Below are 27900 nucleotides of genomic sequence, written 5' to 3' on the forward strand. Positions count from 1 at the left end.
TATAATAATAAGCTAATATTGCATGAAGCAAGGCTAAGGCAAATTATGATAAAGATTGACAAAAGAGACCAAGTTCCCTGGCTCAACCCACTGCTGGGGATCCAGATCCTCTTTCAAGGGAAAAGGTAAAATGGACTGGGGGTAGAAAAAAAAAAGGTCCTGGGACCAAAGCATAAAAATGTATAAGTTAATAGAGTTATGAAATTTGAGATGTTTAAACAGATTTCATGTAAGTTAGTTGTGACTCCTTCACATAAATGGCTACGAAAATAGGTATTGTATCTGACGGGGGATGATTCCCCTAGGTAGTACCATAAAACCGAAGGCATGTAAATGTATCCTATGAGAACTGTTCATTGGACTGTGGAGGAAAAGTTAAATATTAAATTTGAACTCAATTGAACATGGACACAAACACTGGTCACCAAGTCACGGAAAAGGTTGTGTGAGCCCCTTGAGGCATTTATCCAGCACTGTTTCGGACAAATCTCTATTTCAATCTATTCCTATATGTTAGTTATTGAAAAACAATAGACAATCACAAAAACAAGTTGACATTTTTGTGTTCCTTAAGCCCAGTCATGAAGGGCCCTCGTGACTGGGCCTCATGCCAAACAACTTGTTACAAAAAGAGCTAGGGTCCCAGACTGCGCCGAAGCTTCATGAGACCGATCCTCGTCTGTGGACAGAGGAGTAGCTGACTCTGAAGCCCAGGCTGTTGCTATCCAGTCTGGTGGTGAATCCTCCACAGTCTGGTGAGTGTAAAAACCTTTTCCCTTCTCCCCTTCCCATTGTGATTTGCTTATTATGTCAATCTGCTTATTATATCATTTCCTTATTATTATATAATTTGCTTATTACATCTGCATTGCCATATACATGGGATAAAGTTTGTTTACTTTTAAAGGTATTGTGTGTGTGTCTTTTCCTCTCCCCTTGTGCATTTCCCAAAGAGAATATGGACATGGTAAATAAATAGGAACTAGTAAGATTGCCTGAGCCCACAGAATATAGGGCAAAAGTTGGAGTGCTAATCAGGAAAAATCCTCCACTTTATAGCCCTTTGTGGAACATTTATTGGGACTGATGACAAAAGACTGTAAGCACTTCCCAATGACAACTTCTGGACTAGAGAATATCCACCTGAGGAGAATTTACTGCCTTGCTATGAAATGTTAATTGAAGCTACCCTTATGCTAATGGAAACAGTGGTGCCCCAAAGAGTTCTATAATAAAATAAAAATGGTTTAAATAGAATCTTACTACCTAGGGATGGCAGAAGGAAATTCTCATGAGCAGGGAACCTCCATTTTCCCTAGAAGTAACTAACTGTGTGAGGAGCTGCTAGATTCTACAGTGCCTAATAAACAGCTCTCATCTAAGATGAGCTACTTAGCATGTGAATAGCAGTTCCAAGGTGAACAAACCACATCTTGTTTGGAATGGTGCTGCTCCAAGGAAAATTCTAGAAAATCTTTTTCTTTTCTGTTTTTTATAGTTTAGAGCAATTGGACGAAGTATATTTTTGTGAGCAAATTTACCTTTCTCTCTGAATTCTCCAAAATTCAGAAACCGTGAGTATTCTGATTTTATGAAAATATATTTATTTACATAAGTTTAGTAAGAGTCTTTTCTTTTAAAACAGGATTATTTGAGACACTGGTTATTTTACCAGGGCTTTAACTAGAATAACATATTGTTAGGTAAACTTTCAGAAAAGCCAACTTAGAAAGAGCCTATATGGCAATCAATTCTTGCTGCAATTTATGCAAATAATCAGGCAAAGTACAATGAGCCTAAAACTTATTTTGCACACAAATTAGTCTTACTATAATTTCTCTTCAATAGGAAAGGAGGGCTAGAGAGAGGAAGAAATTGTTTCAAAGTAAAACTATTATACTTTTTACTAGATTTCAGCCCTGACTTTTGTTTTTGAGTGTAGATTGAATCATGAATTATTTCTTGGCTACAAGATGCAAATTTCCCTCATTTGGCATTCCACTGGGCCTGATCTGTTTTTCACTGCAAATACCCTGCTGTTTAAGGCTATAGAAGCCCCCTCCCTCTAGGCCCAGAGACTATCATGGAAGAGGTTGGCACATAAGATTGTAAGGGCTGGTTTTGAGGGATAGAAGTAGATCAAGGTCAGACACTCCAAATCAAAGATGGGTACAAATACACCGAAACGGCTAGTAAAACAAAGGACTTTGTTTTCTGAGCTATTATGTAGCACCTTTTCATTCACCTCAACCATAAGGAATTTCCTGCTTCCCATACAATTAAGAGAAAATAATTACTAAGAGGATTATGATACCTCGTGACCAAGCCTCCTGAGTATAATACTCTTAGTTATGAGTTGTGCAGATAAATATATATTTAAAATTTATTTTTCAGAACAATGTTATGCTTTATATAGTGAATTGTTTTATGTCTGTAACTAAAACCAAGATTGCAGTAGCTCAACACACAGAAGTTAAATATAATTCAGTTTTGTAACCTCGCCTTCGGCTTTTTGTTTGTTGGCTCTTTAAAACAAAAAAAAAAATTATGGGATAATGAATGCCTGTCCATGTTCATTCCTGTCTGGCCTGGAATATTTAATTGGCTATAAGTCTCTTGACTCTAAGTCCCTCTGCCACAGAGTGTCCCACCGAGGGACAGGATGGACCTGAGGCAGACAGTCCTTTAGCCCTGGCAATGCTATGGAACAAAATAAACATTTGGAGGCCATTGATGCTGTCTCTGGCAAACCTTGGCCAGAAGAGGGAGAATGTTAAAACAAAATAAAATTCTAAGGTCCCCAAACCATATGAATGGCTTTATCATATGTGAATCCTTAACCTTGGCAAAATAAACTTTCTAAATTGATTGAAACCTGCCTCAAATACTTTTGGGTTCACAGTTTGAATAAAAATAAAAAAAAATTCAAATTCAAGTGACATAATGTTTTTCTGAAATCCAAATGCTTAAACAAGAATAAACAGAGTTTTAAAGGATATTGGTAATTGTATCTCAAAAATTTTGAGAAACATATTATGTTGGGATAAAAGAGAACCTTAAAATAACATCTGCTTGTTGTAATACTGTGTAATGTTTCCTAATGAGACATAAATACTATTTCCTTTGCTAAGTACAGGGAGTAATAATAATAATAAAATTTTCAGGGTCCTTTTATAAAAAAATTGACTACTATAATATCAGATATTATGCTGTGTAGGCATTCCTTTATAGCTTATAAAATAAGTTTTGAAAAGTATAACCAGTACTTAAGCTATCTTTGAAGCTATCTTGTTGCAACAAAATTTTCTATTGCATCCCTTATTTGAAACTTTTACTACTTAAAATGTTTTACTACTTAAAACTTGATATTCTTCCCTGGTGTATTCAAGAACTCATCCAGTTGATTGAATCAGTTAATTGCTTTTCTTCTTCTTTTGTTTGCAATTTAAATGCTTGTCTCACCTTCACGTGTTATTACACTTCATAAAGGAGAAGAAAAATTAGAAGACAATAAAAACAGATATTTTCAACTTCAGAATTTTATGTATGACTATATCATTTTACAAGAATTTGTAACTACTTATGTTTTTGTAGAATTGTAAACATGGATTGCAATAGCTTGTACATGATTAACACACTAATTGAAATAAGAAAAATGTTACTAAAATCTGCTTTTAAATTTTTTAAGTAGTGAAAATTCTATGTATAATATTTGTATATATGTATTAATATTATTTGGAGCAGATAATGTTGGTTTATGCCTCAAAGCATATTTGATGTTTTATGTGATTTATTTGGTTAAAATTAATTAATCATTTAATTAAAAATTTAGAAGCTCTATTTAAAATAAGCTTGCTGTACAAGTAAATTACAATGGTTTATATATAGGTAATAAAACAGAATTAAGCAGCTAAAACCATCTAATACTACAGTTGGTTAAAGAGGTCAAAAAAGATACCTATACTTTTTTAAAAATTCATTTATTTATTTGAGATAAGGTCCCACTCTGTCACCTAGGCTAGAGTGCAGGAGTGTGAACATAGCTCACTGCAATCTAGAACTTCTTGGTTCAACTGATCCTCCCACCTCAGCCTTCTGAGTGGCTGGGACTATAGGTACATGTCACCATGCCTGCTAATTTTTTAATTTTTTTGTATAGATGGTGTATTGCTTTGTTGCCAGGGCTGGTCTTGAACTCTTAGGCTTAAGTGATCCTTCAGCCTTGGCCTCCCAAAGTGCTGGAATTAGAGGTGTGAGCCACCATGCCCACCCAGCTTGGTCAATTTAATATCAATTAATTACAAACAAAACAAAGCACACAGCACAACTCATTTTTCTATTTGTCTGGTGCTCATTCCTCTATGTAATAAAGGGCCAGTGGGTATAGATAATGTGCTAATATGGAAAATAAAATAATTTTTTAAAATAATTAATGTCTTAGAAGCCAAGAAAAGACAAAAAAAAGAGAAAAGAACCTTGAGAACAAAAGAAAATGAAAAGCAAAATGATAGATTTAACCTCAACATTATAGAAAAGTAAATCATTATAAATGTACTACAATCTCCAAATAAAAGGGAGCCATTGATAGAATTAATAGAGAACCAAAGTCAATCTATATGCTGACCTCAAGAAAGTAATTTTACTTGTAAACAGGTCAAAAGTTAAAAGATAGTTTCATCATAATTTGTTTTGAAGTTAAGAAGTAGAAAAGACCATACCTTGACATTGTTATGTATAAAAATCTGATGTATCTATATTAATATTAAAAAAAAGAGACTTCAAAACAATTTATGTTCCCTGGGAAAAAGAGGGATTTTTTTTTAATGATAAAGAGACTAGCTCACCAAGATGACATAATAATTTCAAACATATACAGGCTTAATAACAGAACTTTGAAATATATGAAGCAAAAATCAAAATAATTGAAAGAAGAAATAGATAAATTCACGCTATAAGACTGAGATTTCAACACACATCTGCTTTTCATTTATATAACATTTATAGGGGAAACAAATATGAATATAGAAGACTTAAATTACATTGTTAACCAGTTTTTTTCTAAATTACATTTACAGAACATTCTACTTCAAAACAGAAGAGTATGCATTGTTTCCAGATGCAAATGGAATATTCATTAAGATGTCTGTATGATTTAATTAGTTTAAAAGGAATAAAATCATCTGGCTTTGTTATTCCTATGGAATATAATCAGAAATAAGAAAAATAGACATCTATAAAATTCCTAACATTGGAAACTTGAAACCACATTTTTAGGAGTGACTTCCACTTTTGGGAAGATGGAGTAGAAATACTTTTTCCTATTCCTCTCACTAATCATAGCTAAAACCTTGTACATTATACATAAAATAAATGTAAAAAGACCCTATATAGGTGTAAAGAAGACAGTAGACCAGTGAGGGACCTCAGGAACAAAAAACAACACAATGATAGTTTCTTCGGCTTGGTTTTTGTCTCATATATACTAGACTTGGAGCTGAAAAAGCTGCCTGAAAATGCCAATGGGCACAGAAAAAATCCTCCAGAAAATGGCTCTTTTCTCTAGCCAAAGAACTAGTAGAAAAGCAGCCTAGCTAGAGAGAAAACTTTTACATAATAACCACTCTACTCCAGGCAAACGCCAAAAAACAAATCAAGAAAACAACATCCACAAAAATTGTGTCTGAGTCAGAAAAGACTGACCTGGAAATCTTGATTTTCACCGTCACAAGTTTGTTAAAAGATATCTGCTGGTCCTGATGGTAATGGTAGAGAAAGTCAAATAGAAAATTGATACATCACCATCAGCCTGTAACAAGTCCTCTGTCCAGCAATGTCAGTGAAAACCACATGAAGAACATGGGCTTTCACCTCACCCATCGGTAATGTAGTGCCCTTCATCCTTGATGCCTGGGTGGCGTCAGAGAAAGCCTACTGGAGAATCAGGAATTTCACCATTACCCAGTGATAACAAAGCCACTCTCACCATAATGTCGGTAGATGTCATGTGAGGCACCAACACATCAGCACTCACCTAGTGGTATCAAAAGACCACTCCCCTTGGGTTTCAATGAAGGATGAGTAAGTAACCTGGACTTGTATTTATAACCAGCTGCTTTTCTTCCTCTGCTGGAGCAGTGTCACAGAAAGCCAGTTAAAACAGAAAGTTTAAAGAAAATTTAGTGTCCCAAAAAATAACATAAAAATGTCAGGTCTTCAATAATAAATCACTTATCATACCAAGAAGTAGGAAGATATCAAACTTGATTAAAAAGGTGAGCAATAGATGCCAACAATGAGATGACAGAGATGTTTATATAATCTAAAAATATTTTAAAGCAGTTATAATAATTATGCTTCAGTAAGCAATTACAAACGAATATCCTTAAAAAACAAAAGGATGTGTCAACAAAGAGTTGAAACATCTTAGCAGAGAAATAGAACATATCAAGAGGAGCAAAATGGAATTTTAGAATTAAAACATTCAATTACAAAAATATGAAGTTCAGTGGATGGGTTCAATATAGAATAGAGGGGAGAAAAAAATGAATGAAAGACTATAGGTAGAAATTATACAATCTGCAAAACTGAGAAAATTAGACACAAATTCTCCAGCAACCTGTGAAAATATAGCCATGTATCACTTAACAATGAGGATATATTCTGAGAAATACATCCTCGGGTGATTTTGTCATTGTGCAAACACCATAGAGTATATTATACACAAATCTCAGTGGTATAACCTACAAAGCCTATTGCTCCTAGGCTAAACTCGTACAACATGTAATACTGTAGGCAACTATAACAAAATGGTAAGTATTTGTTTATCTAAACTTATCTAAACATAGAAATGGTACAGTTAAATCATGCTATTATGATCTTATGGGACTACCACAATATATACAACCCATCATTGACCAAAATATTATGTAGCAAACGATCATATAGTGAAATATCTACATTTTCTGTCGTCAAAGCACTGGAATAAGAAAAAAGACTGGGGTAAAAAATTACCTGAAGTAATAATAGGGGGATACTTCCCCAAATTTGGCAAAAAACCATAAAAGATATAAATTCAAGAAGCTGAATGAACACCAAACAGAATAAGACTAAATACATCTATGTCACTATGATACATCTTCATTATATTTTAGAAACTATAGGAAAAAAACTATTATAATGACAGAAATTTTTCTTCACAAACAATGGAGGCCAGGAAAGCTCATAATCCTATAGACAGTGAAAATGGCCTTCAAGAATGAAAGAAAAATCAAGACGTTCTCACAGGAGTGAGAACTAAGAAAATTTGCTACCAGAAAATGTATTGTAAGGGACAGTAGGGGCAGAATAAGTGGGGATTCTTAATTGGTATAAAAAATATAGTTAGAGGGAATAAGATCTAGTGTTTAGTAGCACAATAGAATGACTATGTTAATAAGAACTTACAGTATATTTCAAAATAACTAAACAAGTGAAACTTTATATTAACATGTATCTAGTTATATATATATATAGTATATTTCAAAATAACTGAACAAGTGAAACTGTTAATATTAACATATATCTAGTAAGAGTAAGAAACTGGAATGTTTCTAACAAAAAGTCCTTAAGTAATGGATATCCCAATTACCATGATTTGATTATTACACATTGCATGCTTGGATCAAAATTTCACTTTTACCCCATAAATATGTACAGCTGTTATGTATCTATAAAAATTGAAAATTAAAAAAATAACTAAATAAAAGTGAAAAAATTATTTAAAAAATAAAGCAAAAAATGAAGAAACAAATAAAAAAATCAGCTAATACGAAACACTCTTCTTCTCTTGCGTTGTCTAGATTATTGTTGACATTGAGTCAAAAATTATATCACTGATTTATTTTGTTCTTATTATATGTAGAGGAAGTCTTTAAGACAGTTATAGCAGGGAGCAGTTACAATGTAAACAGAGGTAAGATTTCTATATTTCACTTGAACTGATCAAAATAACACCAGTATACCATGATAAATTATGTATCTGTATTATGAAATACTTGGCACAACCACCAACAAAGCTTATAGAAAAATGAAATAGATACATACATACATATACACACAGAGAGAAATGGAAGTCAAAAAACAGTTAAAGTACTCATCATAAAAGCAGAAAAAATCAGAAAAAATATTAAAAAAGAGATAAACTAAAACAAAAATAAAATGATAGATTTTAAACCTAACATCAATATTTATATTAAATGGAAATGGTCTGAATTGTCCAATAAAACGATTGGCAGAGTGGATTAAATAACATGACTCTATTATTTTTTGTCAACAAGAAATTCACTTCAAGTATAATGCTATAGGCAGGTTGACACTAAAAGGATGGATAAAGACAAATCATGAAAATGTGAATCATGTTAATGTGAAAACAAGCTTGAATATAATATTAGATAAAGTAGACTTCAGAGCAAAGACAATTACTAGAGACAGAGAGGGACATTATATAATGATAGAAAGGGCAATCTACCAAAAAGACGTAGCAATCCTAAAGTTCATGCACTGAACACCAGAGCTATAAAATATGTGAAGTGAAAACTGAAAAAACTGAAAAAGAAATAGACAAAACCACAATAATGATCAGAGACTTCAACATCCTTCTCTGAAGAATTAGTAGAGCAACTAAACAGAATTTCAGCAAAACTCAGCAACACCATCAACCACCAAGATCTAATCAATATTTCTAGAACATGCCAAGCAACAACAGGAGAATACACATTAATTTTAAGTGCCCACAGAACATAACCAAAGGAAGATAATATTCTGGAACATTAAAAAAATCTTCAAAAATGTAAAAACCTAGAAATCATACAGAGTATGCTCTCTAATCACAATAGTATCAAACTAAAAATCAGTAACAAAAAAACAGAAAAATATTCAAACACTTGAAAATTATCTAGAAACTTGCAAATAATCTATGGGTCAAAAAAGTCTCAAATGAATTTGTGAAAATATATTGAAATAAAATGAAATGGAATAGACAACGTACCAAAATTTGTGGGAGACAGCTAAATCAGTGTTGAGAAAGAAATGTATAGCTATAAATAAAGACATTCAAAAAAATTAAAAGCATCAAATAAATCATCTACTCTCCCACTTAAAGAATATATATAAAAAGCTGTAAAATAAACCCAAAGTAAGCATAGGAAAGAAAATAATAAGACTATAAGTGAATAAAATAAAAAAATAAAAACATAAATATTGGAAAACAACCAATGAGACAAAGAGTTTATTCTTTGAAAAAATCAATAATATTAACATATCTCTAGTAACAGTAAGGAAAAAAGAATAACCAAATTATTAGTATAAATATCAGGAATAAAAATAGGATACAATTATAAATCCTATATATATATATAAAAGGTAATAAAGGAATACTATAAACAACTCTAAAACATATAAATTTGACAACTTAGACAAATTGGACCAAGTCTTGAAAATATTTTCACGACTCACCCAAGATGAAATAGATAATTTGAATAACCTTATAGCTATTAAGTGGATTTTTAAATTATAAACCTCTTGAAAAAGAAAGTTATATGCCCAAATGGTTTTCATCAAGAATTATATCAAACTTTTGAAGTATTAATATGAGTTTACAAACTCTTTCAGATAAGAGGAAGCAACAATCTTTAATTTATTTTATAAGACTATTATTATGCTGATATCTGATATCAAAAAATGAAAACAAAAATTATAGTCTACCACTTACGAATATAAACACAAAATTATTTTTAAAAAGTTAACAAGTCTAATTTAGTAATAACAATTATACACCATGACCAATTAAGGTTACACTAGGAACACATGACTAGTTCAAGGGTCACAAATTAATTAATACCATGACACATAATTTTAGCCTAGAAAGCAAAAATCACTTGATTATAACAATCTATGCAGAAAAAAACATGTGAAACATGTCAACGCCCATTTATTATAAAAACTCTCAGGAAAACAGGAGTAGAAAGGAGTCCTCCTAAAACTTGTTAAAGATAATCTACAAAAAACCTTACAGCTAACATTATACTTAATGGTAAAAAATTGACCATTAAATCAACACTTGCAGTGTAATCAGAAAAGAACAAAGTTGACTGAAGACATAGGATCCACGGTCTCTGCATAGTTTTGGGGTCCCCTTTAACTCTGTGATATAAAAACACTGTAAGTCGCTGCTTATATTTTGAGTTCACAAGAGGGATTAAGCAGGATTCTGAGGGATTGAACATTTTACTTAAAGAGACTCTGAAGTGTCATCCAAAAGAGATTGTTTTCATTAATTGTGGTAGGGAGTTGTATTAGTGTCCTATTACTGCTGTTTACAGTTACCTAAAATATAGTAGCTTTAAAAAGCATAATTTGGGGAGGAAAGAAGTCCAGGATGAGTCTGACTAGGCTAAAATCAAGGTATTTTTGGGTTGTGTTGCTTCTGAAGACTCTAGAGGAGAATTTCTCTTTGTGTTTCAAGCTTCTTGATGTCACCTTCATTTGTTTGCTCATGGCCCTTTGTTCCATTTTCAAAGCCAACAGTGTAACATCTTCAAATCTCTCTCTCTCTGAGGTTGACTCTCCTGCCTCCCTCTTATAAGCATCCTTGTGATTACATTGGTTCCATTGAGTAATACAGGATAATCCCTCCATCTCAAGATGTTTAACTTAATCACATCTGCATCTGTAAAGTCCCTCTTGCCATATTCACAGGTTCTCAGCATTAAACATGAGCAACTTTGAGGGAAGAACATTATAATGGTTCCCACAAGAGTTGAAGTTGGAACAAATTAAATATATACAAAACATAATTTCTTATCAAATATAGGCAAAAATGAGACAAATCTTATAAAATAGAGAAACTACATGTTAGTCCATTCTCATGCTCCTAATAAAGATGTACCCAAGACCAGGTAATGTATAAAGAAAAAGATGCTTAATGGACTCACAGTTCCATGTGGCTGTGGAGGCCTCACAATTATGACAGAAGCAAAGGAGGAGCAAAGTCATGTCTTACATGGAACAGGCAAAAGAGAAGTGCAGTGCAAAGAGGGAAAAATCCCCTTATAAAACTATCAGATCTCATGAGAACTAACTCACTATCATGAGAACAGCATGGGAAAGACCAACCCCCATGACACAATTCCCTCCCACCAGGTTCCTCCCAATTCAAGATGATACTTTTGGGTGGGGACAGAGCCAAACCATATCATTCTACCCCTGGCCCCTCTCAAATCTCATGTCCTCACATTTCAAAACCAATCATGCCTTCTCAACAGTCCAAAGTCTTAACTCATTTCAGTATTAACTCAGAAGTCCACAGTCAAAATTCCCATCTGAGACAAGGCAAGTCGCTTCTACCTATGAGCCTATAAAATCAAAAGCAAGTTAGTTATCCCCCAGATACAATGGGTGTACAGGCAATGGGTAAACATCCAAATGGAAGAAATTGGCCAAAGCAAAGGGGCTATAGGACCCGTGCAAGTCTGAAATTCAATAGGGCAGTCATTAAACTTTAAAGTTCCAAAATAATCTCTTTCTACTCCATGTCTCACATCCAGTTCATGCTAAAGCAAAAGGTGTGCTCCCACAGCATGGGAAGCTCTGCTCCTGTGGCTTTTCCAGGCATGTGGAGCATGCTATCAATGGATCTACCATCTGGCGTCTAGGGGACAGTGGCCCTCTTCTCACAGCTCTACTAGGCAGTGCTCCAGTGGGGACTCTGTGTGGTGGCTCCAACTCAACATTTCCCTTCTGAACTGCCCTAGCAGAGGTTGTTTATGAGGGCCCCAGTCCTGCAGCAAACTTCTGCCTGGACACCCAGGCATTTCCATACATCCTCTGAAATCTAGGTGGAGGTTCCAAAACCTCAATTCTTGATTTCTGTGCACTCACAGGCCCAACTTCACATGTAAGCTGCCAAGGCTTGGGGTTTGCATCCTCTGAAGGAACAGACTGAGCTGTGTGATGGCCCCTTTTAGCCACAGCTGGAGCTGAAACAGCTGGGATGCAGAACACCATGTTTGGAGACTACATAGAGCAGGGAGGGGGACTCTGGGACCAGCCCACAAAACCATTTTTTCCTCCTAGGCCTCCAGGCCTGTGATGTCAGGGGCTGCCATGAAGGTCTCTGAAATGCCCTAGAGACATTTTCCCCATTGCCTTGGAAATTAGCATCTGGCTCCTTGTTAATTATATGAATTTCTGCAGCTGGCTTGAATTTCTTCGCAGAAAAAGAGTTTTTATTTTCTACTGCATCAGGCTGCAAACTTTTCAAACTTTTATGGTTTTCAAACTTTTATGGTTTTCAAACTTTTATGCTCTGTCACCTCTTGAATGCTTTGCTGCTTAAATTTCTTCCACCAGATACTCCAAATCATCTCTCTCAAATTCAAAGTTTCATGGATCTCCAGGGCAGGGGCAAAATGCTACCAGTCCTTTGTATAGCAACAGTGACCTTTACTCTAGTTTCCAACTAGAGTAAAGTTCTTCATCTCCATCTAAGACCCTTTCAGCCTGGATTTTATTGTCCATATCACTATCAGCATTTTGGTCAAAGCCAATCAAGAAGTCTCTCAGAAGTTCCAAACTTTCCTACATTTCCCTATCTTCTTCTGAGTCCTCCAAACTGTTCCAACCTCTGCCTGTTCCCCAGTTCCAAAGTCACTTTCACATTTTTGGGTATCTTTAAAACAGCACCCCACTCCCAGTAACAATTTATTGTATTATTCATTCTCTCAATGCTAATAAAGACATACCTGAGATAGAGTAATTTACAAAGGAAAGAGGTTTAATTGACTCACATTTCCACATGGCTGGGGAGGCCTCACAATCATGGCAATAGGCAAATGAGGAGCAAAGTCATGTCTTAAATGGCAGCCGGCAAGAGAGAAGTCCAGTGCAAAAGGGGGAAAAGCCCCTTATAAAATCATCAGATTTTGTGAAAGCTAACTTACTATCATGACAATGGCACTGAAAGATCCATCCCCATGATTCAATTCCATCCCACCAGGTTTCTCCCATGACACAGGGGAATTATGGGAGCTACAATTCAAGACGAGACTTGGGTGGGGACACAGCCAAATCATATCACTCAGCATGTGTGAATTGATAAATTTTCTCATGACATTATGAGGGTATAAAATACAACAATAGCAATTACAGAAACCCATAAAAACTTCTACTGAAACTTGCACAGCATCCCTAGCTTATAGATTGTTACTAAAATGTGAAAAGCACACACACACACACACACCCCTCATGAGCATAAAGTTTAGTTCATATCTTGTTTAGGGTTGAAATTATGTTTCAGACAAATGTGCTAAACACAACAAATTTGTGGAATCATGAGGCCATCAGTATTCATTTGATTTATTAATGTTTGTTCTACAAGTGTATGTGAGGAACCCACTTTGCTAAAAATTGGTTAGATAATAAAAGGATATATAAATGAAGAAGTCATATATCTGATATGTACAGTGTAGTCATATAAAAAAGACAACTTCTCAAGTAAATATACAATCAGTTAAAAATAGTTTCATGCAACAATAGAGGTTAAAATTTCAATCAAAGGAATGATTACTTCAAAGAGTAGTGATTGGCAAGATTATACAAGATGATCATATACATACAGATTCTGTGATCATGGTAAGGGACATGTCAGAGATTTACTAAAACCCCAGGTCCCCTTTACATTTTCTAATGGTGATTATTTGTTAATAGTATTGTAAAATAGAGAAATTATGAGTAAATTTTTATTCCTAGCATCATTTGCTAATGTCTCCTGGAAAAAATTCTGAGCAACTATTTCTTTCATAAACAAAGCAAACTTTATTATTGAATATCTACTTAACAACCTAACAACCATATGCTTTACAGAAACAGATGCTTATTTTTATATTAATTTAAAATAAATATATAAATTAGAGAACTCAAGACTAATATAAGTTTGTTGGCCTGTTCTTTCAAATATTCAGCTGTTCTACACATAAGTTTCTGAAGTATTAATTTAGCCATAACTCTTAGTTGTCTATTCAATATCTGTTGTATCTTTTTTCCCCACTGTAAAAATATCTATATTGAAGTTTCAACATGTAATGCTCAAAATACACATCTTTTTCATATTGTCTTGCAGCAAAGCTTGACCATGAGATAAAATTCTAACCAATAATATGTAAGAGGAATTAGATAAAAGGCTTCAGTGAGAGTTTTAGTGTCTTCCTGATTAAAAAAAAAGGCTCATAAATTTCTTTGGTTTTTATTCCTTCTTCTGTGTACCTGGAATACAGTCTGTTACCTGAAGGAGCATCTTATAAGTATAAGGAAACAGTAAATCTATTTTATGTTAAAGGCATTGATATTTGGACTTTTTGTTATTTGCAACAAATGTATTTATAATGCAAGCACTTATTTGTTGTGTTTTACATTGGTAATTTTTGCGTATTAAAAAATGCAATAAACTTTACATTAGCACCCAGAAAAGAAATATTTATGTATAAATCTAACAAACTATGTTCAAGACTTATATGAAGTAAAGTACAAAACTGTGATGAAAGAAATTAAAGAAGAGCTAAAAACTTGGAGAAGTATTTCATGTTCATAAAGAGGAAGACTCAATATTGTAAAGATATCATTCTTTCCAACTTAATTTACAGGTTCAGTGTAATCTCAATACAAAATCCCAAGTTATCTTATGGATAATGATAAATTGATTCTAATATTAATATGAATAGGCAAAAGATGCAGAATAGCAAACACAGTATTAAAGAAAAAGAATAAAGTTAGAGGACTGATACTACCTTGCTTTGAGAATTTCTACAAAGCTAAGGTAATCAATTCAGGGTTGTATTGACAAAGAAATACACAAATAGATCAATGGAAAAGAATAGGGAGTGAAGGAATAAACCCATATAAATATAGCCAATTGATCTTTCACAAAGTACAAAGGCAATACAATGCAGGAAAGATATGAGGGAAATTTTAAAAATATGTAGAAAACTGGAATTTAAAGATAAAAATTAAAGATATAAACTTTTTAACATTAACTCCATCAAGTTCAAGACAATTTTGTAAGAGATGGTACCAATTGTTGGGTCAATCCCTAAAGAACTGAGGGTCTTGGGAATTTACCAATGTCAATGCTTTTTTACATTATCAACTGAAGAAAAATGGCCACGCTTTTTAGATTTTTTAATATTAGGAAGAAAAAGAAATCAGAAGAAATCAAATTAAAACTGCAAGGGGGATGCCTAATGATTTCCCATTGAAACTCTTGCAAAATTGCTCTTGTTTGAGAGGTATGAGCAGGAACCTTGTCATGGTGGAGAAAAGACTCTAGTGAAGCTCTCTCAGGTGTTTTCTGCTAAAGCTGTGGCAAACTTTCTCAAAACACCCTTATAATAAACAGATGTTATCATTATTTGGCCCTCCAGAAAGTCAACAATCGAAATTCCTTTGAGCATCCTTAAAAACTGTCACCATGATATTTGCTCTTGACTGATCTGTTTTGCTTTGACTAGTCCACTTCCATCTCTTGGTAGCCATTGCTTTGATTCTTCTTTGTCTTCGAGATCATACTGTTAAAGCCATGTTCCATCTTTTGTTACAATTCTTCAAAGAAATGCTTCATGATATTGATTCCACTTTTTAAAATTTCAATTGAAAGCTCTACTCTTATCTGTAGCTCATCTGTGTGCAATGGTTTTGGCACCCACAAAGTGAAAAGTTTGCTCACCTTTGATTTTACAATCAGAATTGTGTAGGCTGGACCAATTGAGGTTTCCAGGCTGTTACCTAATTGTGCTGTTAATTTTTGGTGCTCTTCAATTAGGGCACAAACAAGATTTTTTTTTTTCTCACAAACTGATGTGGATGGTCTGCTTTTGTGAGCTTTCATCTTCAACATCATCTTGTCCCTTCTTAACTTCAGTTATAATTTGTAAACTGCTGATTTCTTTTGGGTATTGTCCCCATAGGCTTTTGGTCAATTATTTTTCTGTTTCGGCTCAAGCCTCACCATAAATTTGATGCTTGTTCTTGCTTCATTTTAGCAGAATTCATGCTGCTCTGATAGGGGTTATTTTCAAACTGGTGTCATATTCTTCTTAGTACCTCAAACTAGATCCTGTTTAGACATGTTACAACAAGACAATGCAAGTTTATTTTTGTGAAAAAAGTTGAAATTCATGGAAAATTTAGAAAATTTTTATGAACTGTTTGAAGATCTCTTGTAGTCTTTTCAGCAAACGGTCCTTGTACACTTGGACATCCACATACAAAAAGATGACTCTAGACACAGACCCTATTCCATTCACAAAAATTAACTGAAAATGAATCACAGACCTAAATGTTAAATTGAAAAACCATAAAACACTTAGAGATTACATAGGAAAAAATAAATGACCTTTGATTTGGTGATGACATTTTAGATACAACACCAAAGGCATGATTGATGAAATAAAAAATTAATAAAATAGACGTTATTCAAATTAAAAATTTCTGTCCTGAAAAAGACACTGTCAAGAGAATGAAAAGACAAGCATGGGAGAAGATATTTTCAGGACACACATCTGATAAAAAAAACTATTAGCCAAAATATTCAAAGAACCCTTAAAACTCCACAATAAAAAAGACACTAGATTTTTAAATCGGTGAAAGACCTAAATAGAACTTCACCAGAGAAAATATACAGATGGCAAATAAGCGTATGAAAACATATTTCACATTATATGTCATCAGGAAAATGAAAATTAAAACAATAATAAAAAACTACTGCATACATATTAGAATTGGCCACATTCTAGAACACTGACAACATCAAATGCTGACAAGGATGTGGAGCAACAGGAAATCTCATTTATTGCTAGTGAAAATGCAAATCGTACAGTTTCTTTGGAATAAAATTTGGCAGTTTCTTGCAAAATTAAACATACTCTTATCATACTATTCAGTAATCACATTTCTTGGTATTCACCCAAAGGAGTTAAAAACTTATGTCTATAAAAATCTTACACACAGATGTTTATAACAACTTTATTCATAACTGTCAAAAACTTGGAAGCAACCAAGATGTTTTTCAGTATATGAATAGATAAATAAACTGTGCTAAAACAATAGAATATCATTCACTCCTAAAAAGAAAGAGCTATAAAGCTACGAAAAGACGTGGAGGAGATTTAAACGTATATTATTAAGTGAAAGAAATCAATTTAGAAAGACTGTATACTGTATGATTCCAACTATAGGGCATATAGGAAAGGCAAAACTATGGAGACAGTGAGAAGATTAGTGGTTGACAGGAGTTGCAAGAGGAAAGGATAAATAGGTAGAACACAAAATTTTGGGGGCAATAAATTTCCTCCGGATGATAATAAATGGTGGATACGTGTCATCATACATTTTTCATATTTTTTATTCCTTCTTATACTACAAAGTATTTTGGCTTCTCTTTTTGAATACCTTTCAACATTTTTAAATACAAAAAACAGATAATACATACTAATGAGTTGTTTAATAACATGGTACAAAAATATGATCAATGGATCCTCAATATGTTTTAAAATTAAAAATGTGAGTTAAGTGTTATGATTCTAAAGTCCTTATGAATAGAGTGATAGAGGGACTGATAATGTGTAGACATAAGAACAAAACATCCCATCAGTTTCTATAACTGCATATAACAACACAAAGTGTTAGTTGTTCAATAAGACACACATGAATCTGAGATCTTATTAAATATAAAAATTTACTAATAATTTTAGGACCGTGGTGTAGGGACAAGAGTGACTTTATTAAATGCTAATCTGCCATTTAACATCTGACTAACTCCAGTCCAGGAATGCCGCCAAAATGTCTAGTTGATGTATTATTGCTCCTTATGTAAGAACACCTATTCACAGAAAGTTTCCTCCAAAACAACCCTTATAGTCACAGAAATTATAGGCTGAAATGTCTGCAACCACTTACACGTTCCTTCTAGCATACATAGGCTTTTCCCCCAAGATGTAACCCGTGGGTCTGAGAGTTCACGGTGTAAAAATCTACCTGTGTTGTGGTTGCCCAAGGCCACTATTCTTTCTGCAAGTTCCCTTAATAAATCACTCAAAACCAACAAACTGGATTTGTCTGCCTCCTTCTTCAGCTTCTTGGCTCCTTTGGTACTTGAAGGACACTTTGCATATATGACCCTTTTACAGAACACACGGGTAATTGTGAAGCATGAAAGAGGCATGGAGAAATCCAGGACTGTTCTTGAGTCCTAACTTTTTATTTTATGGTGCGTCAGACACAGATTTAACATATAGGTCTCAGCTATGCTAGAAGGATATAACTTACACAAAAAGGAGCTATGCAAGTCATGAAATATTTTTATGTTGTGTTCTGAAAATTATCTGGTCTAGAAGACATTTTCTAAGGTGATATTCTAGGTGAATTTACAATAAACAACATAGATCAACCAGGTGCATAGGCTGAATCATGTTCTCCCAAAATTCTTATGTCAAAGCTGTAATCCCCAGTATCTCAGAATGTATCTGTATTTGAAGACAGGGCATTTAAAGACATAATAAAGTTAAAAAGCAACTGTTAAAGTGGACCTTCATTCAGTTTGATTTGTGTACTCATAAGCGGAAATCTTGACATACAAAGAGAAACCAGCAATGTGTCTACACAGAGGAAAAACCATGTGAACACATAGCAAGAAGGTGGACATCCACAAGCCAAGGAGAGAGATGCCAGAGAAAATCAAAACTGTTGGTACCTCAATATTGTAATTCTTGCCCCTAGAACTGTGAAAAAATAAATTTCTGTTGTTGAAGCCACTCAGTCTATGGTATTTTGTTGTGGTAGCTCTGGCAAACTAATAGAGTTGTCCAAAATATTTCAAAGGGCTCACCCACTAGAAAATAACAACATATGTTTTGCAGAGTCCTGACATTAATGTGTTTAAAAGATGATTTGACTGGAACATCTTTCATTCTATCCCATTCCTAAAGAAGAGGTGGAAAAAATAGATCACAGGCCTGCTGTTAACTCTTTCCTTTCATAAACTATAACACAGAAATTCCACTTGGTATATAACTAAAGACATTATCTCATAGGTAAGTATGAGGGAATATATTCAAGTATGGTATTACAGTGAGATTTGTTGTAGCAAGTTGTACATCATTAGGCAAGTGTGCAGTTTGCTTTGATGAGCATGCACCATGGAACCCTGGCCAGCTGTTAAAAGACTAGATACGAAAACAACAACATGGACAAATCTCTAAAATCGAATATCCAACACTTTTATTATGCAACTTAAAATTCAAGCACTGAATATAAATGCCTATTTTAAAAAAAATGTGTGCCAAAAATTTTTCCATGTTCAACATTATAAAATGTCTTTCTATGTGGTATAAGGGAGATGAAAATAGGACTAAAGAATACAGAATAAATTAAATAACATTTTTCAAGAGTTTTGTGGCACAGATCAGTGATTGTGATGTGCCATTAACTAAGGAGTTTTATGAATTCGACACATGGCACCCAAATTCCACATTTTAATAATAAATTAACAATAATCATATTTTAATAATAAGATTCAAATAGAGAGAATTCTGAGCTAAAAACCTTAAATAAATTTAAGATAGTCACAAACATAAAGACATAATATATATTCAATACTAAAGACAAGCAAGCCAAACAATATATAAGAACAGAAGATGCAGTTCATCTTAGAAAGATAATTACAGAAAATCAATACACCCAAGAAAATAATACTAAAGACTTCGTAGCTGCTATCATAAATTTTATACATGCCTTTTGTGGTTGAAAATCTCATAAGAATGGAAAGGAAAGGAGGAACAACAAGAAGGAAATTCCCTGAAATATCAAATCAAAAGAATTTGGCGAGGTACCGATAACAGAAATAAGAAAAGCCAGAGGTGACACTGAAGTAAAAGGAAGAAAAGTGTTAAGGGTTTTAGCAGCAAAAAGAAGAGTGAGCAAATATCCCAATTGCCTTTTCATTTCTATATTCATTACTTACCTTGTCCACAAGGTTACACATTATGAGGGCAGATTCCTTATGTGTCTCATTCACCTCACTGCTCAAGCATCTACCCCAGTGTTGAACTGTGACTGAAACATAATGTTTATTTAATAACTAAAGAGTATATTTAGGATGGAGAGCCATAGAAAGAGGACCGTTTTATCAACTGTTGTGAAAAATCTCCTGGAGGCAGGCACAACTATGGAATGCTAGAAAAGCAAGAGAATCTTTCTAAACTTTGCTTTACTTAGTCTTTTAAATGTGATCTAAGGCTCTGTGGAAAGAATCTCATGGACAGGTTGACCCTTGCTCCCCATCTTCTCTGGTTAGCAAAATGTGTTGTTTCTATTCTTGTGTTTTCCTCATGTGAAATAATAACATCAATAAAACTAGACAGACTCTTAACATGCATAACTGTACATGGTGTATTCAGATTACAAGACCTTTTAATTATAAATTTTCTATTGAAACACTCTAAACAGGAGTGCGGGTGATAGGTGATGTATACATATATATAAATGCCGTCCTTCCAGTTACTTGGAATTTAGGTTCCTTCGCAAGCAAAGTGTTCCTCCCTGTCTATTTAAAACTGACAAAGACATTTGTCTTTACTCGTGTGGAGATGCCTGATAACTTATTTCTAACTATCATACGCTCCACAGTCATGACATTTTAAGAAAATAGATCAAATCTATCCTGGATTTTTTTTCAAGTTCCTTTTGATTGCTGCTGGGAGGAGAATAGAGAGATAGTAGAGAATAGCATTAACTTGCAAAGTAAAATAAATTATTTTGAGATAACTATTCTATATTAGAATACAAAATAGCCTCCTAGTTACAATAACAAATTCAGCAGGGCATGGTTGTAATTCTCCAGGCTTACTAGTTTTGCTACCATGGTGTGTTTTCTCTGGTATACTCCAGATGATTTAAATAGTGAGACTGATACAGAAACCTCTGCAATGCATGTATTAAATGCATACATATATGAATTATAAGACAGCTTTTTCACTGGTTACCGACTGGACACTAAGGACAGAGTTTTTGAATTTGAATCTGAACATTACTATTTGCTCACTCTGTAACCATGAACATGATAATTCATCCGTCTGTGCCTCACTTTTCTCAGTTGAAAATATTAATAAAATATATATAGAGAGAATATAGAGTATATATATAGAGAGAGATATTCCATACATATTTTATATGTATTTACATATATATACACACATACATATATAGATTTATGGAATCTATATATACACATATATATAGATATATACAGATTCCATACATCTCTATATATATGCATAAATATTTACACACATATATCCATTTATCTATCTATAAAACAAGAATTAGTATATGTAAAATCCTTTGATGAGTGTCTAGTACAGATTAAGAATTAAGAATCAAATGAATGTTACCTGATATCATATGGGTATATACATATATATAAATATTTGTATATACATTTATGTATATATACACACATATATAATATAACTGTATATAATAAAACTTTGAATTTGGCAAAGTGAGGTAGAAGCCCCAAGTTAAATTTCATTAAGATTAAAACTGTAGCATATCCTTCTATTTAACTTCACACTTCAGCTTCTTTAAAATTTTTATTTCCAAGAAAGTGTACAAATATCTGCATATCATAAGCAAATAAAATATTTACATAAAAGATGGCTATAGCCACAGTGAGTAAATGCTTCAGGCTCCATATGCCTTAGAACTAAAGTGACTGTATAACTTATCATCCAGACCACGACAGTTTAAGAATAAAATGTGTGTGCTTTTAATAATCACTCCAGGATACCAAGTGTGAATTGAGATTTTTCCAGGAAAACCAGGAAGATTTGTCACCCTACTCAAAACCCTAGAAAATACAGTAAATAAGAACATATTTTACATGTCCCAAGGACAAACGCATGAGGAAAGTGGCGTCATCTTTTCTTTGTGGTGAAATAGTATCATCTATGCTCTCCGCAAAGCCCAGGTTGAATTTGTAACTCAGGTAGAATTGTTGATTTTGTATTTTAGGGTTTTTTTATTATACATAATGCGCTGCACCTCATAGTTAAAAACAATTGTTCTAAGCTTCCACATGCTGCTAAGATACAGCTACCGGGATTTAGTGCGAATCACGTTGTTCGAGGCGTTAGTTCAGCTGTCTGTTGAATCCCCTGAAACTAATGCTCAGTCTATATTAATGTCTCAGTCCCGAGAAACCTCAGCCTATTCTCTCCTATAATTAATCTTGCAGGTGGTGCCTTGACATTATTGGTTCACCAACAGAGCAGAACTGCCTCAGCCATCAATAATAATTCAACGCATCAGGATGAGGCCTACGCATGGGCCACAGAGGTAGCCAAATATGCAGAATCTCCTGCATTCCTCTCCAGTAGAAGGGAAACTGCAATTGAAACTAGTTGTTTTGGTGGCTCGATAATTTGTAATAGAGGGGTCTTGGTGTTACTAATTGTTTTGCTTTATGCTTTTATCCAAATGTAGCCACGGCTTGGCACAAGGGGAGTGATTGTCTGTTTACTGAATCTTAATATTGAGGCTGTTACAAATTGTCTTTCACAGATGGTGGGAGCTTTTCAGATCGAGAGAGGCAGGGAATTTATTACTCAATATTTCTGTATTACTGATTGGGACGTGAGGAGCATAGACAATCTGTCCTACTGCAGGGTTTGCTGCATGGTTTTTTTTTTCCGTCTGTAAAATTATGGCTGGCTCTAGACATTTTTCTCATTTTGTATAGATAGCAGCTGTGTAATTTCCAGCAGAATGTTTGCGTTGATCCCCCTTCCTTTAATTGAAATCCGCAATTATGAGATTTGTTTCTTTTATGTTTGTGAGTTTATTGGTTTAATCTACAAAATGTGCTGTCTTGCTGTCTTACACAGTTAAAGGCTACAGCACAGTTGGGACTTAAATGAAAAACATTAGAGGGAGGGGCTTTCTGTTTTTTGTTTTTTATTTTTTATTTTTTTGGTTGGCTATAGAAAGAATCCAATATTCTTCCCCTCAGATAGCAGGCTCTATGACAACTTAGTAAACTGTCATTCTGTATAATTTAAAGCTGTGTCTCTTGTATATATATATATAATGTATGTATTATATATATATGATTAGGCTCATTTCTAAAAATGAATAATATGTGCGTGTGTGTGTGTGTGTGTGTGTGTTCATAGAATGGAAAGGGAATATGCCTGCATAGGAGCATTTCTTTGATTATAGTAACTAGTAACATTTACATAATGCTAGCTTTATCAGCACATTTTAGGGGAAAGAGAGTGAAAGGATTATAAAGTAGATAGATATAAGAACAGTACTGCATGGTCTCAGACATAGTTCACAACAAATAATTTTGAGAGTTACATGTCAATATGCTCTACCACATAAATTAACCACAAATTTCCTAAATGGTAAAGTTCCAGATGTTTGAAATATTTTAATAAAAAATAGAAGAAAAAGAAGAGATCAAGTGGAGAAGAACGAGATTTTATTTCCAAATTTACAATTCTCTCACTGATAGTTACTGTCATAAACTGTAACTATATATTTTAAAACAATCTTTGCTAATATTTTATGCATTCATTATATATTTTTTTCTGGCACAGTATAGTGCATTTTCATTTGGAGCTCTAGGCTGTGTCTATATAAAGGAAATTCCATATTAATTGGTATTAGGCCAATTAGTTTGTAACTGAATTAATCTTTCTATGTAGCATCCTTAACTCCAACTAATTGATTTAGCCTAACAGTTTTGGTAGCTATCATATAGTCATTTCTCTTAAATGGTCATGAGTAATTAATTCACATTGACAAGGAATTTTTCACAAAATTCTTCCATGTGTTAATGGTTGTTTTTTAGGCAAATAAACCAAGCGATCATATGGATATTTAAAAATATTTAGAATTGCACATGTTAACTGAGTATGTCTCCAATTCACCTTGTGGTCTCCTGATTATTATGTGGTCAGGTCTATTGTCATACAACTGTGATATGTAAAAATATATATATATATATTTCATATATATATGGCATATGAGAAAATATCCAAATATTTTCTAAACTCAATATACATAGCCCATGGATTCTAGGAAGAAAAGTTCACTTAAAAATAAGCCTTTTAATGGACTATTTCTAAATCCTGAAAGCCACCACTGGAAAAATGTCATGGTATTTTCTGCTTTTTCTTAATAATTACAGTGTAATTAAATATCCACTCATCTAGGAATTTCTTAATAAGAAAAACTGTAGTAATTTTAGATATTTGTATTTTAAGTATGGGAAAAAACAAGGGAGCTAATGGATCTAAAGTAACTTGCTCAATAAATTACATGTAGAACACTAAGGAAATAAACAGAATTCAAATCCATACCTTTCTATGAAACTCTGTTTAATATGGATCTACCTGTTTTTTTAGGATATGTAATGACTTAAGATACCAACTCCACATTCTGTGGTAAGAGATGAAGATCCAGGAAATGTATGGACACCTATAGCCTGAAGAATATTGTCAGAAAAAAACACTGGGATCTGGAAGCGAAAAGGAAACATAGAAAACGAGACAGGAAGGTGAAGAAAGTTGAAGATAAACTTTCTTTTTCACAATGTTTTTATGGACAAGTTCAGCCCATAAATCAAAAATTACCTTTATGGATGAAATATTAGTTAAGTCAAGATCATCTTTTTCATTTCCTACATGCAGGTTGAATCTCATTTATGGAGTGAGATGTCAAATAACAACAAAAAATGCACTTAATTTGCATAAAGATGCTTGTAAGGTAACATTGCTCCACACTTTGCTTTATTCACATCATTAGAGGAAATATCTTATTCCTCTAGCTGTTTCTGGCCATGGCTCAAGGAATTAAAAACTTCCATTCATTCCTTCAGACAGTACAGTTAACAAGAGGATAACTTTTTTTATTATCTCTGTCCTTCTCCCTCAGGAAGCAGAGAATTATCAGATTGGTGAGAGAAAGGAAATAAAGGTCTGAACATGTGTCTCAAGTCACCTCTTTTGGGAGCACTCTGTTCTCAGTTTATTTTAATTCTGTTTCTCAATTTAATGAGTTTACTAGAGCAGGGTCCACTATTACCCTGTGGAGATCCTTAATGATACATGGATATGTTTAATTCTGGGAATAAAGTAGTTAAACTGGCTAGTGATTATGCCACATTGTTAGAGTCATCTTTGTCAATAAGAAAGTTGTTCATATTTATGACATCTGTATCCATTTCTTCAGAAGTGTGACTATTATTCATATATCCCCAATACACACAAAATATATAGTTTTAACTAAATTTTTAATCTGTTACATATTTTTCTAGGTTACTAGCTAGAGACATCCTGGTTGTTTCCAATTTGTTGTAAACTGGAAATTTGATGCTAAACAAGTAGTGTTATGACAAGCCTTCTTATTCATAACTTGACATGCTTTTGCCAGTATATTTTAGATGAAATTTTGAGATTATGGTGGAGTCAAATCATATGAACACTTTAAATTTTGCTCCGTTATTACCACATTCCTGTGCAAAAGTGACACCAATTTACAATGCCATATTGTATAGACGTGTTTCATGGTACCTTAAAACAATTACAATGTTAATAACAAAGATAAGTAATCACAGAGCACTATGTCAGATATAATACTAATTTAAAAAGTTTGAAATATAATGACAATTAACAAAATGTGACTAGGAGGCTCAAAGTGAGCACATGCTGTTGGTAAAATGATGCTAACAGACTTGCTTAATGTAGGGTTGCCACAAACAGAAGTAAAAAGTGCTTATTTGCCGACAACCTTGCCAAATATTGACTCTATAAAATGGTTTAAAATTATTTATATTACAGATACTTTGCTTTGCTATTTCTAATTCTCTTATTTTGTAAACAGTGTTATTTTAGCCACATATGTATTTCTTTCGCTCTGGATTTCTCATTTCATTTTAATTTTGTGTGTATGTCCTTGATGGATTCTTTGAATTTTTGTTTTCATTGCATCTTTCTGTATAATTATTCCTGGGATATTGTGTCATTTTTAAAAATTGCATTTCGTAGGATGGATTCCTAATACTTTCTTTGCATGTGCTTTTATGTTATTTTATTTCCTTGTCTTATTACTAAAAAGTGATTTTATACTTGCCATGATTTTCAGGTTTCCCAGCTTAAGATGGACAGTTCTTACACTTTGATGTAGCATGGGCAAATTTGTCTCTACTTTTTCACATCAAGCTATAGTTTAAGCATTGAGTTTTGAAATGTGCCCACTTTTTCCCTAGCCTGAGTGTGTAGAGAATAAGCAGATGAGCTCAATTGGTGTGCAATTTAGGTAAAAGACCTGGACTCTTTCTCTTGCCTAAAATTTTATTAAGTATCTAATCCCATAGCTTGCTCTCTTTCCAGGAGGCAGTTTTACTGCCGCCAGGGAAATAGCCTTGCTTTCAAATCTCTTCCTTAATTCAGCGCAGAGCCACCAAGGCTTTGCTTGTATCAATGAGCCATCTCATGTACCTTCATCCCCCATTTCACCAGTCTTTTCCTGGCACTTTCTCCCTCTATTCCTCACTCTAAGACTGAGTGGGGAATCAATATTTGGCTGTAAAGGAGTATATGGTGTCTTACCTTGTGTGCTGAAACAATGTATTTACTCAAAGTGTTATGGATTTTCTTTTTTCTCTACATTATGCCAAGACATAAATTCTGAGAGTGTTTATGATGGTGCCTCTTTTCCCCTCTGCTTTCTTTCCAAGTTAGAGACATCAAAATAATAAGCCTTAACCATTTTCCTGTTTTTAAAAGAAATAGTTAATTTTTATGGGAATTATTAGGTGTCTCCCGGGCTACTCATGTAAATCCTCATTTTATCTGTTTTTAAATTGAGTTATTCATGAGATGCTTTCTGCATTTTGTTTTTTAGGAAATTTTAGGAAACAAAGATAAATGTCATATGGTCTTTCAAATGTCATATGGTCTCTCAAATATCATATGGTCTCACATCCCCTCCAAACTATTTTAAATATGGCCTGACTTTGGGAATGAAGGCTTTACTTGGACATGGATATGACTGTAGGCATTTTCCTTTATATTCCTTTATAACTTACTGTTATGCATCTACTAGCAGCTGTTAAGGTCACTCCAAAACTGACATTCTCTCCCCATGTTTGCTTCCACTAAAACCCATCTGGTGATGGAACTGTGCATACCTTCATCAAGTATTTTGAAAACAAAACAAAACAAAATAAGCAAAAACAAAGTAAACAAAAGACAGATATCTGAATCAGACAGAATTAGTTTTGGATCCCAGTCTGTCACCAGTTACTTGTTTAAAATGGAGCAGGTTACTTAACAACTCTGAGAAATATTTACTTAAAACACTCAAGTATAATATGTATTTTGCAGACATTTTGTGATAAGTAAATGAGGTATGTGTGCATGTGTGGGCTTGTGTATAAAATAAACTCTCTTGATTGGCCTATATAACTGTCTTTTTCATTCAGGATGAATGGTGGGTAACTTTTTTACTCACTCAAGCTACATCGTATTCTATTCAGATTAATCTAATTTCTTATCTGAAATAGTTAAAATATGTGATATACTTTGACAAATATCAAGGTAATAAACATTTGAAAAAGGACACATTTTTCTCTTCCTTATTTCCTTAAGCCAATTCATTCTTCTACTATATTTTATTTTACATAAACGTTACTTTAATTTTATATATGCACTATGCAATCTAAAAAGTACAATTGCCTGTGATGTCCATATACTTTACCTTTCTTAAGAGAGGTACATTCGTTTAATTTATTCTTATAATCTAGTT

At 33.5% G+C, this 27900-nt stretch overlaps 2 long non-coding RNA genes and 1 other non-coding gene across 4 annotated transcripts in view; 1 reads left to right on the forward strand and 2 right to left on the reverse strand.

The window, feature by feature from the left end:
* MIR3171HG (MIR3171 host gene) overlaps window positions 1–27900 on the reverse strand; it is a 351396-nt gene that overhangs the window by 290097 nt on the left and 33399 nt on the right. The window lies entirely within an intron of this gene.
* LINC00645 (long intergenic non-protein coding RNA 645) lies at window positions 666–27714 on the forward strand. Its single transcript, NR_039992.2, has 5 exons — window positions 666–755; window positions 1499–1574; window positions 7901–7951; window positions 22322–22422; window positions 24498–27714. It is a non-coding gene; the product is annotated as a long intergenic non-protein coding RNA 645 (long non-coding RNA).
* On the reverse strand, window positions 21283–21356 carry MIR3171 (microRNA 3171). Its single transcript, NR_130461.1, has one exon. It is a non-coding gene; the product is annotated as a microRNA 3171 (primary transcript).

This window comes from Homo sapiens, chromosome 14, assembly GCF_000001405.40.
Source record: "Homo sapiens chromosome 14, GRCh38.p14 Primary Assembly".
NCBI lineage: Eukaryota > Metazoa > Chordata > Mammalia > Primates > Hominidae > Homo > Homo sapiens.